We start from the raw sequence: 12,462 nt of genomic DNA on the forward strand, positions 1-12,462 counted from the left end.
CAGTGTGAGAAATGACCAAGTACAGAAGTAATTATAACTCCAGACATAAAGTGATCTGTTCCACTTGAGCAATGCAGATGGAGCCCTTGGAAACTGCGGAGAAAAGGGATGGGTCACTGCTAAAATTAGTAGGGGAGGAAGCAGGAGGGGACAGCTTCCTGGAGAAAGTGGAGCATCTGAGCCAGGCCTAGAGGGATCGGGCGGATGTGCCTGTGCAGTAAGGAGACTGGGATGAGAGCAAAGAGCAGAGGCCGGCGGGCAGGAAGTGGGGGGAAGGAGAGGAGGTGTCTGGGGATAGTGACGAGTCCAGCCTTTTACACAGCAGCATTGCTGTACAATGAAGCTGGGAAGAAGCTCTGCTCTGGCCAAAGCGCTAATGCTAACGGTCCCCGCTACCTCGTCCTGCGCCCACCCCACCACCCCCAAGCTCCGTGGAGCTCAGGTTTAAAAACTGTAAGAACTGGAACATTTTGTATTTCTAGTCCTTTTCCCTGCCACCTGCAATAGATCCCCCAGTCCTACCCCTTTCACAAGGAGTGAGGGTGGACAGCTGGACAACCAGTGTGGCCTCCCAAGTGGCTGTGGGAAGGGCTAGGCTGTCTGCTCCCCTCACTCTCTTCCGCCCGCTGTGAAATCCACATCAGCTGGAGATGCCCAAGAGCTCTGTTCCCATCTGTTCTGGGCACGGCTGGTGAGAAAGCCTCAGGATTCAAGAGGCCGGCCCAGGGAGCGGGCAGGGTAAGAGCCCACCACACAGGCATGTTCAGCCAGTCCTGGGAACAGCTGCCCAGCCAAGGGCCAGGAGGCTCCCTGCTTCCCAGCCAAGGGCCAGGAGGCTCCCTGCTGCCCAGCCAAGGGCCAGGAGGCTCCCTGCTGCCCAGCCAAGGGCCAGGAGGCTCCCTGCTGCCCAGCAGCTCTCAAATCACCCATTTTGTAGCCTGGCTGCTAATGATGCAATCAAGTTCATCAGAAAGCATCTGTTCTGAATGATAGGCACACTGCTCTGAGAGAAGTATGGGTGTGCTCTGAGAGAGGCACATCAGAGTCGGGGGACTTGGGTGACTAAGCAACCAGGACTCTTGATGTTCCCATGAGCCTCAAAACTACCCCTTGGGATCTTATCCAACCATCTTGAACTAGACCAGCAAGTCTCCTCTGAGCCCTCAGCCAAGACCTCAGGACGGAAGCTCGTTCAGGGACGTGCAGCTCTTCACAAGCCCCAGGGCTCACTGCCACCAGAACCCCTTGTGAGCTCCCCACAGCAATGTGAGAATGGATGGGGGGCGGTGGGGGGGATATAGTTTCAGGCAAATACTAGAAGAGCAGCTGTTGTATTCAAGCACAGCTTCCGCCTAAAGTAGGGCTGGAGGCAAAGGTTCACATACAGGTGGTGTTGATTCAGGTGGTGACCCCAAGGAGCAGGAGTGAGTTACAGTTTAAGAGTGAAACCAGAAAGAGGGGAGAACCAATAAAAAGATGCATTCCTAATGCAGCTTCCACAGGAGAAACTAGTGCTCAATTCCTTGGGAACTTCTAAAGAACGTGTGGAACGCATCTGAGAACTGCCCACCCGACAGTGGAAAGAGGGAAGCATTTAGCCATAGGTTCCTGTCCTCTGTTGGTCAAGGGTAGCTCCGTGGGGGATAACCCTGCACAGTTCTAGGATGCAGAGTGATAAGTGTCAGTATCACAAGGCTGTGGTCCAGGACAGGAAGTGAGAGGTATGCGGTGTGGGCCCAGGTTAAGGTGCTGCCACTGCACATCTGTGAAGCTGCTCAAAGCATGTGACCCCCTGGGTTCTGTATTCTGGCTGGAGTAAGAGGCAGTCTGAAGAGGAGCTTTCCAGAAAGCTTTGGAGTGTTGTGTCTGCTTCTACCATGTCTCTCCCTGGAGTCCAGGGCACAGGCTAAGCCTGCTTGAGGCCTGCTGCTTGCCAAAATCTGTATTAGTTTCTGATTGCTGCTCTAAGAAATTACCAGAAAATCAGTGGCTTCAAACAATATTAGTATATTATTATTCTACAGTACTGGGGTCAGAAGTCCAATACAGGTCTCACTGCGCTAAAATCAAGGTATTGGCCAGGCGGTATTTCCTTTCTGGAGGATCCAGGAGAGAATCTGTTTTATTGCCTTTTCCAGCGTCTAGAAGCTGCCTGCATTTCTTGGTTTGTGGCCCCTTTCTCTATCTTCAAAGCCAGCAATGACCACTTGAGTCTTTCTCACATTACATCACTCTGCCTCTTCTGCCTCCCTCTTTTATTATAAGGACCCTTGTGATTACACTGGGCCACCTTAATAATCCAGGATAGTTTCCCCATCTCGAGGTCAGCTGATTAGCCAACTTAATTCTTCCTGCAACCTTAATTCCTTTTTGCCAATAACATAACATAACATATTCATTGGTTGTAGGGATTAGGATGTGGATGTCTTTGAGTTACCATTATTCTGCCTGCCACAGATACTGTCCTGCCTTTCTTTGAAAAGAAGAGCTCATGATTTACAAGGTTAATCAGGGCTGACTTTTTACACTGTCCTTGGAGCCAGGAAGGGAGAACCTGCTTGTCCCTGAAACTGTCCCTAGGATCCCACATGATCCTGGCACAGCAGCCTGCTCTGTCAAGGACAACTAAGCTCAGTAAAGCTCCAGGTCAGCTTGGGCATCATGGGAAGAGCCTGAGCTTCACAGACAGAGGGACTGAGCTCCTACCCCAACTCACCGACTAGCTAGTGGTGAGACCTAGAGCAGGTCACTCAACCTTTCTGAGCCTCCATACTCCCATCTGTACAGCAAGGCTAATGCCCTAGGGGGCAGTCAGGATTAGAAATCATTTTTTCTACCATTAAAAAAAAATTATTGAAGTCTCACTATGTGACTGGCACAAGGCTAACTCCTGGCAGAAGGCTAACTCCCTGCTCTCATCAAGCTTGGATTTTAGTTGGGTCTAACATGTGGGAAGTCCTTAGATAGCCTGGGAACACAGGTACGCAATAAATTGAAAACATCTTTTGAGCTCTCAAGCCTGCAATTATCAAGAAAATAATATTATGTTTTAGTTACTTATTGATTTATAACATACAAAACTAAGCATAACCCCTATTCGACTTGATCCTCACAACAATAATCCAGGGATGGGGCAGAGAGCAGCCCTTCCATGGTTCCTCTTGCACCCACAGTGAAACCCTGTGCCTAATGCAAGCACCCTCAGTCATGCAGGGCAGGTCACCTCCTGTTCCGTTTCCATCCTTTCGGGTTAAGGGTAAGAAACCAAAAACTAAAAAAAAAAAAAAAAAAATTAAATGGCTCTTCTCTAGCACTGCAGATGCAGTAACATATTTATACTATGCTCTCACCTGGTATAAATGTTTTGACCATATTCGGGGGTGGTGGAGGGTGAGGAGAATGTTTGCGCTTCTCTTTTTGCAGTTAGCCCAGGTTGTTAGCTGCATGTTCTCTTGTCTCTCTCTCCCACAAAGCTGTGAACTCATCGCCTAGGGACAGCGGGTCTTAGGAGGCCCCCATAGCAAGACCCAGGGAGGAACTTTGCAATTATTTAGCAGCTCTTGGGAAGCACTTGCTAAATCCAACCCCCTCACCCATCCCAGTCGCTTGGTGGAGGAGACCCCTACAGAGTCCCGGCCAGAAGTCTCAGATGGCTATCCCATGCAAGACAGTCTCTCGAGGGCTCCATTGTTATACTCAAGTTGGCAGGAATAAGCTTCAGCCAGCTGGCCCGAGGATCCAAGTGATACCAGCTGGTCCCCAACCTACAGAGTGATCATGAGCATGTCTGTGAACTGGTATCTGACAGTTCGCTGTTCCCCATCTCCAGTTCCTGGAAGGGAAGCTACAACCTAACGGTGCCAAGGAGGGGTGGCTTGATGTGGAAGGCGGTTGTCCCTCACTGTCCCGATTACCCACCGCGTGCCTCTGCCTCCCTTTCCCACACTCTGCTGCTTTGCTACCGTGGTGCCGGTGCTCAGTTTGTCAGGCCTCCCAGGCTCAGCAGGCAGGATGCCGTAATTCTCAAGAATAAAGAAAACATTTTAGAGTCTGACAAGCCCAACATTTGCATGTCTGTTTTCAGAGAAATACCCATGTTGGGGGATTAATCCTCTTTCTTCTGCCCCCCTCCCATCCAGCCCAAAGTAGGAAAACATTCTTGACATAGTTGCCTGAAAAGGATTTCTAAAGAGAAAAATACTGCCCATGCCCTGTGATTTCAGGCACTTAGTGTGAAAAGCACCCAGAGGAAGGTGATAGGGTAAAGAACAGAAAAGAAAATATCCTCTTTAGTCAAATAGATTGTTGATCTTAAAGTGGACGGTGCATTAGCTTTGTCTCTAGTCTCCAGAAATAGACATGTTGGTGCTCTACTTAAAAAGGCATGATTTCTGCACTAAGAGCCGAGCCTGTGCTCCCCTAGGCTGTGGATTGGAGGATAGTAAATGGGGAAAGGGGCAAAAGCCCAAGGCCCAGAGAGGCACTCGGCAGAGGAGAGAAACACAGGGTTTATCTCTTGGAGCATTTTACACTAGGACTTAGGCTTATCCAGATGCTAAGAGACTCTGAATTTGGAAGAGAAAAAATACATTTTACCTCATATTTGGGAAGGCCTGCTTCCCAAAGGTCTGCCTCACTCTTGGGGAGGTCCTCTCTGATCTGCTCTGAGCATTAAAAGTAAATTTATGAAAGAATTCCTGGAGAAAAGCCAACTAGGGCGACTTGTTCTGAATCATTAAAGTTTCTGTCTTAAAAGATGATTTCCACAAAGGCCGACTCTATTCTCGTCTCTCAGGTTGGGAAGCTGATGAACTTGTAAGCAGTAAGGGCCCTCTGATGAGATGAACTTTGCTCCCATTGTTCCAAAGAAAGCGAACCTGTGCCCAGGAAGGCGATTGAGGATGGAGGGGCTGGTCCAGGCAGATGTAGCAAAAGGCAATTTTAAAGTTCTTAAGACAATGTGGGCATGCCCAAGATCACAGCCATGCACCCATGCATCCATTCAACAACTGAATGTTTGTGTTGGCCAGAGCCCTGTATTAAATGGCGATTCCCTTCAACCTCGAGAGGGCACGTAAGCCCACAAAGTCCTGGAAAGGAGATACGATGGGAAGCGCAGGAAATTCAGAGAGCCCACGGTGAGTGTGAGTGGACTGACCACGGTGGAGCCATGAAAGCATCTCAATACCAACCCCAGAGGCAAGGCCCAGTGCGTGGTGGTGAAGACAGGTGGTCCAGGACAGCCTGGATGCTCAGAGAACTTCCTGTGGGCCAAGCCCAAAATGGCACAGGCTGAGGCAGCACATCCTGCGTGTCCATCAGGAGAGCAGTTTCCAAGTGGAGCCATGGGGAAGGAGCCAACAGGAAAGGACCCTCTTCTCTGAGGAGCTAGGGACATGGGGAGAGCTCTCCACCTGAGCCTGGGCCAAGAGGAGGGAACGCCTGGCAGGACCCAGTGCCCAGAACAAAGGAGCTTGTGTCAGGGCCTCTGGGATAGGGACCAGGGGAGGCCAGCGGCGTGAGGCCCAGGTGAGACTTGCACTGCACAGTGATCATCTGGACATGCTCTCAAGCACCACAAAGAATTGTCGCCTGATTGCTGGAAAGCAGAGGGCCGGGCTGGGGCAGACCCGAAAGGGGAACCTTGAGAAAAGAAATGGAGGGAGGCAGGAAAACTTTCTTTGCAACAATGGTAGCAAAGTTCATCTCATCGGAAGGGCCTTGTTGCTTACAAGGTCATCAGCTTCCCAACCTAAGAGATGGGGATAGACCTGGCCTTTGTGGAAATCATCTCTTAAGACAGAATCATCAAAAATTCACTCTAGTTGGCCTTTCTCCAGGAATCCCCACACAAATTAACTTTATATGCTCAGAGCCAGTCAGAGAGGACCTCCCCAAGAGCGAGGCAGATGTTTGGGAAGTGAAACCAGAGACTTTGCCTTAAAGGGGACACATTCCCTCCTGCTCCCCACTAATCCTAGAGTCTGCAATAAGCTGTCTGAGATAAGAGGGGCGAAGAAACCAGCCAGAGAAGAGATGCAAAATTCCTTAAAGTTCTTGATCTGTAGTTCTTATCCCAAACGTGTGGCAAAAAAAGAAAGCTACCCACCACCTTTATGCCTTTCTCCCAGTAAAAGACTAATTTCAGCTGGGCAGGGTGGCTCAAGCCTGTAATCCCAGCACTTTGGGAAGCTGAGGTGGGCGGATTGCCTGAGGTCAGGAGATCGAAACCAGCCTGGCTAACATGGTGAAACCCCGTCTCTACTAAAAATACAAAAATTAGGGCATGGTGGCGCACACCTGCAGTCCCAGCTACTCAGGAGGCTGAGGCAGGAGAATCACTTCAACCTGGGAGGCGGAGGTTGCAGTGAGCCGAGATTGCGTCACTTCACTCCAGCCTGGGAGACAGAGTGAAACTCCGTCCCAAAATGAATAAATTAATTAATTAAAATAAAATAAGACTAATTTCAAAAATCCCTCTTAGGTACACAGCAGAGTATAGCATACAAAATGCATTTGGCCCTCTCACCCTGGGTTTCATTCTGCGATTTCCCTATAAGCATTTAGATTTCCTTCTGCATGACCCAAGCTAAGACTGGAAGGGAAGCTTGCCATCAGCTGACAGTGAGGAGTGGCAGGTAGACAGGCCTTAGGAGAAGGGGGAGGTCAGTGTCTTGGGACGTCCGGCCCCAATTCTGACCCCCAAAAGGAGAGCATCAAGGCCCAGAAGCATTCAAGCAGAGGTGAAAGCACACCCCACACCAGCAGCATCTGCCTCACTGCCACCCCCAACCCCAACTTAACCACCCGGTTCTGCTCGGGGCTGAACTGATTAGTCATTCATAATGCTTAAGTCATTAATTCAGGAAGGAAGCCACGCTAGCTGCCTCTTCTCACTGGGAGTTTGCTGCCGTTGCAAAACAGATGAGTAATCAGACATTCCGGGAGCCCTCGTTAAGCCCATTGCCAAGAAAGGTGTCTTGCAGCTCATTTGCTGCGGGGGAAGCCACGCTACAGGCCCTGAGTCACGCTGGATCCAGGGGAGGGCAAGGCCAAACTTGCTGGAGTGCAACATTGCATCACCGAGATCTGCGACGGAGAGGCTTACCCAGCCACCGAGCTCCACTGACCTCACCCACAGCCCCAGCTGGGGCTGACCCTCTGTGGGCTGCTCCGCTGCTTCTGGGGTTCGGGGAGGCTCAAGGGGTCAGAGACAGACATCCTGGGAGGGACACCCGGTACTAGATGGAGTCTTATGTCCCTATATGACAGGTGCTAAAACTGAGGCCCACAAAGGCAGTGACACTTGCCTAGAGTCAAACCTAATTCAAACAGATTTAGGATAGAATTTCATCTCAGTTTTTTTGTCCCCAGCAATTTTCACTGCACCAAATTACATCAATAGGTAATGCAGGTAATGTTAAAGGCTAGACTGTGAATGGCAACGTAGTAAAAACTACCCGACGTCCAGCAGCAGCAAGTACTTTAGAAAATTGTGGTCAAATAAAATGAAATGCTAACCATCCATCTAAAAAAGATTGTTACCACTTTACATTCTGATATGGAGCTGTCTCCAGGATACGCTTTTTATTGCTGTTGTTGTTGTTGTTTGTTTTCTTTCTTTTTTTTTTTTCTTTTGAGATGGAGTTTTGCTCTTGTCACCCAGGCTGGAGTGCAATGGCGTGATCTTGGCTCACTGCAACCTCCGCTTCCCGGGTTCAAGCTATTCTCTGCCTCAGCCTCCCGAGTAGCTGTGATTACAGGCGTGCTCCACCACGCCCAGCTAATTTTTGTATTTTTAGTAGAGATGGGGTTTCGCCATGTTGGCCAGGCTGGTCTCGAACTCCTGACCTCAGGTGATCCACCTGCCTCAGCCTCCCAAAATGCTCTTAAATGGTTTTTAAGAGCAAGAAAGCAACTTATGGAGACAGTACGTATGGTGCACTACTGTGTGAAGGAGGGACACACACACACTCCATAACACCTAGTGTTCCAAAGGAGTGCAAGGGCTGGCACTAGCCATGCGAGTTATTATCAGAGTGCATTTTCCAACCCGTGCCCTGAGTCGAGCTTCCATGAGTGCCTCTAACTTGTGGCCACTGAGCCTGGCCAGCCCCGTTTCCCTGTACCCCTCCTCCACCCCAGTGCATCTCCATGCCTGAGTGTCCAGGTGCTCAGGAACCTCTGCGCAGGCAAAGCTCTGGGAGAGGCCCCTTGGTACCCCCTACTCCCCCTTCCCCTAGTGTCAGACAATGGAGGCCCAGCTTCGAAGCTTGCCTGAGGTCACAAACGGACAGCCCCAGAAAGAAAATGCTTCATGCCTCCGTGTCTTAAAGCTTTCATTCTTTGTGAGTTGTCTGTTCACACATAAAGACCCCTGAGAGGAATCACACCTTGAGCTCAATCAGCCACCACCTCATTATTTACCCACCAGCCTCTCCTTGGGTATTAACTCACACCCAGGGAACAGCAAAGATCTCAGGAGAGGGCCTGATTGCTCACCCACCCTCCAGATGGCTTCAGGGCACAAACTGCTCCCCAGCTCCTACTCCAACCCCAGGGAGGAGGGGCCATCTGAGCTGTATCTGGTCGACCTGTGGTGAGAACAGAGCCTCTGGGTAGGACTGAGTCCTTCCACCATCCCATGAGTCACCTAGAAAAGTTGCTTCAGGAACTCCTAATATCATTTTTCACCTCCCAAGGAGTTCACATCTATGCACACGTTTCCATCTTACAGACCAGGAAACAGGCTCAGAGAGAAGAAGGGAATTATGTACCTCGGTTTAGAGCCAAAGTGTCCTGCCTGCATTCCAGCTGTTTCCATCCATGTCCATGTCAACTGGCATCTGGAACTACTCGTAGCAGCATCCACTCAATGTGAGTTGACTAAATGGAGGAAAATCTACTATGGTGCTTGGAAAAACTGGGACTCTCATGATTTAGGATATAAAGATTTGTCGTCTGTCTGAATGGAAGAAAGAACAGGGCAGTGCTGTGGGGACACTAGGACGTCCTAAGGAAACACACTCACTAATTTAGGGTAATCAATCAGGTAATACTATTTATGGGCTATTAATGATACATGAGGATCACACTCGGCCCAAGTTCTTTGCTTTGTTTCACTCTCTTGCTCTGACACCCTCTCCTAAGTTTCAAGGCTTTTCCCTCCCACCACCCCTCCCAGCCATATCACCACCACCATATTTTAATTCCCCATTTTTCTTTTTTTCTTTCTTTTTTTTTTTTTTTTTTTGAGACAGAGTCTTCCTCTGTCACCCAGGCTGGAGTGCAATGGCACGATCTTGGCTCACTGCAACCTCCGCCTCCTGGATTCAAGTGATTTTCCTGCCTCAGCCTCCTGAGTAGCAGGGATTACCGGCACGCACCACCATGCCTGGCTATTTTTTTTTTTCTGGTTTTTTTTTTTTTTTTTTTTTTTTTTTTGTAGAGGCAGGGTTTCATTCAGCATGTTGGCCAGGCTGGTCTTGAACGCCTGACCTCAGGTGATCTGCCCACCTCGGCCTCCCAAAGTGCTGGGATTACAGTCACTGTGCCAGGCCCTTATTCCCCATTTTTCTGTCCACCCTCCCTTTGTCACCATCGCAAACGTCTCCCAGGACGGACTGGGCTTGCCTTCATATTGACCACGCATGTTTATGCTGGGACACTCTTTCCTTTTTGAGGTTCTTCCCTCTTATTGATGTGCTTATTAATTAATCAGATGTTTACTGAACACCTGCATGCAAGACCCTTTCCTAGCGTCACTGCGTATGAATAATCATTGAAAATTACACAGAGTTTGGTATATGTCTCGTAAGAACTAAAGAGGAAAAGTTACTCTATAGAATCCTAAAATGAAATAACTTCTAAGCAACAAGATAGCAGTAAAAAGCTTGAGTTTTTATTAATGTATTATTATTATTTATTAATTATATTCCTCTGTCTGAAATCTTCCCTCAGTCACCAGGGTGGAATCGATAAATGGCAACATTTTCCTCTCTGATGTTTTTTAACTGCATTAAAAGGCATGGAGTTTTAATTTCACATGCATTTGTTTCTGGGTCTTGGGTCGTTTTTTTTTTTTTTCTTCTTCCTCAAAGCAGATAAATGAGGTTCCAAACTTCAGATAATAAGGCTTAACAGTGAGGCGCTTTTTAAAAAGTGAATCATTTCTCAGTTCTCCTTTGCTAACCTCTCTTGGTAACATTAATTATGAGTTTGTGCACTGTGCCCCAAGGCGAGCTCGGCTTTCCCAGGACAATTAAAGTTACTTAATTATTAAAAACTGTGTGTGCTGCTGCCCAGAGAGAAAGAGGCGGCCAGGCCTGGCTCCCGCAGCCCCTCACAGGAGTGACTGGACACTGTGGGAACCGGCCCCTTTCCCTCACCATTGTCATTCTTTCAGTATAATCTATGAAAATCCCCCCCACCGCCGCGGCCTCTCCCACCTCTGCATGAGTGATTTAGAGACTGCCCACCACTGAGTCCAGCCTGCCGGCTAGTCCTTGTCCTGGGGTGAAAGAGGGGCCCTTGAGCCTGGAGGCGGAGGGAGATGACCAGGCCTCTGCCTAGGGCTCTCGGGTGGAGCAAGGGCCTTGGAAAATGCTGAACCCCTGGGTTGCTGGGTTGCTGTTGGGCCCATCCTTCCTCAGGCTTTCTGCCCCATGGGAGCAGGACGGGCTGCACAGAAATGTCATAATGTACCCTTAAAGGGGGTGGGAGGGGAGGAGGGTTGATGTGGCCCTTCGAGTGGGCATTTCCAAGAGTGGATGCCAATCTGTAACAGCATTTTTTTCTGGGTGGTTCTTTGATCACAGGAGTGAAAAAACTATAGGTGGCCCTGGTTCTGCCATCCACACCCAAAGTGACCTTGGGCAAGTCATTCCTGCATTGGGAAGCTTGGCTTCGTAGTGAGAGGCAGCCTAGGAGCTTTAGGAGCCTCTAAGTCCTGGTACTTAGATGGAGTCTAATGCTTTCCCGGAAAGAAAACCTCGAATTTTCCATTTCTTTTTCTACTTTCCTTCATTCACCCGGCGAGCACCGACTCTGTGCACCATGTCGTAGGGACAGAGGCGTGGACACAGCAGAAGCCCTGAAGGCCACAGCCTCTACTCCTATTGATTGTCTTGCACACAAGAGGAAATGAGGCTGAGAAGGAAGGGGGCTGGTCCTGGGATCCCCCTGCGTGGCAGTGTGAGGCAGGCGGGGACCTAGTCCTCCCAACAGCCGGCCTGCTGAGCATGGCCAGGCCACCGCTGCCGCCTCCTTCCTGGTTTTCTGTCTTCTCCCTTCCTGCTCTGTTTAACCCCTCCCACAGTCAGCTCATCCCTGGGCTCCAAGTCTCTAGGGAAATATGGTCCAATAGAAATATGCTGGCCACAGGCCGGGCGCAGTGGCTCATGCCTGTAATCTCAGCACTTTGGGAGGCTGAGGCAGGTGGATCACAAGGTCAGGAGTTCAAGACCAGCCTGGCCAAGATGGTGAAACCCCGTCTCTACTAAAAATACAAAAATTAGCCAGGCATGATGGCATGTGCCTGTAATCTCAGCTACTCGAGAGGCTGAGGCAGGAAAATTGCTTGAACTGGGGAGGCAAATGTTGCAGTGAGCTGAAATCGCAGCCACTGCACTCCAGCCTGGGTGACAGAGTGAGACTCCGTCTCAGAAAAGAAATATGCTGGCCAGAAATGCAAGCCACATGGGCGTTTTGCATTTCCTACTGGCCACATTTAAAACAAATGAAATAGGAACATGTGAAATTCATTTCAATGATATATTTTATTTAACCAATATATTCCAAATATTATCATTCCAACTTGTAATAATATAACAATTATTAATTAATAAGATATTTTATATTTTTGAACTAAATCTTCAAAACCCAGTGCCTATTTTGCCTTTAGGGCATGACTCCATTCAGTTAGCCTTTTTTTTTTTTTTGAGACAGAGTTTTGCTCTGTCCCCCAGGCTGGAGTGCAATGGTGTGATATTGGCTCACTGCAACCTCCGTCTCCTAGGTTCAAGCAATTCCTGCCTCAGCCTCCCGAGTAGCTGGGACTACAGGTGCACGCCACCACACCCAGCTAATTTTTGTATTTTTAGTAGAGACAGGGTTTCACCATGTTGCCCAGGCTGGTCTTTAACTCCTGGCCTCAGGTGATCCACCCCCTTTTATCTCCCAAAGTACTGGGAATACAGGTGTGAGCCACCACACCCAGCCTGGTTAGCCACATTTTAAGTGCTCAGTAGCCTTATGGAGACAGGTGTTACTGTACTGGATAGTGCAGGCCTCGGGTTTTTGGCATCTCTAACTATCACTCCTCAATACTCTTCACTTCGTACAGGAACAAAAGGTTCCCATAAAATGTTCCTTAGACATATGAAACATTGACACCATGGAATACTATGTAGCCAAACACCAAAAAACCAAGGACACTCTTTTATGGACCCATAGAAAGAGCGC

The 12,462-nt window shown here is 49.1% G+C and overlaps 1 protein-coding gene across 13 annotated transcripts in view, besides 2 other annotated features; it reads left to right on the forward strand.

Moving 5' to 3' along the window:
* The window catches only part of LOC102724877 (uncharacterized), a 53,476-nt gene that overhangs the window by 12,771 nt on the left and 28,243 nt on the right, over window positions 1–12,462 (forward strand). For 10 of the 13 annotated variants that reach the window (XR_002959666.2, XR_002959664.2, XR_001741079.3 and 7 more), the window contains one exon: window positions 8,738–8,877. The exons of 1 other annotated variant lie outside the window; for it this stretch is intronic. Coding sequence is in view for 4 of the 12 variants with exons in the window: in XM_011513352.4 (XP_011511654.1) it covers window positions 8,738–8,877 (140 nt within the window). In the remaining 8 variants the exon portion in view is untranslated. Of the gene's footprint in view, window positions 1–8,737; window positions 10,045–12,462 lie in introns of those variants that run through there. 2 more of the 13 variants (XR_007096295.1, XM_011513355.4) reach the window with 2 other exon arrangements.
* Window positions 1,831–1,880: an enhancer, noted in NCBI's record as "active region_21012". NCBI's record gives its function as "activates an Ori minimal core promoter by ATAC-STARR-seq in GM12878 lymphoblastoid cells {active_cell/tissue: GM12878}" and the evidence as "EXISTENCE:reporter gene assay evidence [ECO:0000049][PMID:35858748]".
* Window positions 4,031–4,325: a silencer, noted in NCBI's record as "tiled region #14852; HepG2 Repressive non-DNase unmatched - State 23:Low". NCBI's record gives its function as "represses a minimal TATA promoter and a strong SV40 promoter by Sharpr-MPRA in HepG2 cells {active_cell/tissue: HepG2}" and the evidence as "EXISTENCE:reporter gene assay evidence [ECO:0000049][PMID:27701403]".

Source organism: Homo sapiens, chromosome 3, assembly GCF_000001405.40.
Source record: "Homo sapiens chromosome 3, GRCh38.p14 Primary Assembly".
In the NCBI taxonomy this organism is placed as follows: Eukaryota; Metazoa; Chordata; class Mammalia; order Primates; family Hominidae; genus Homo; species Homo sapiens.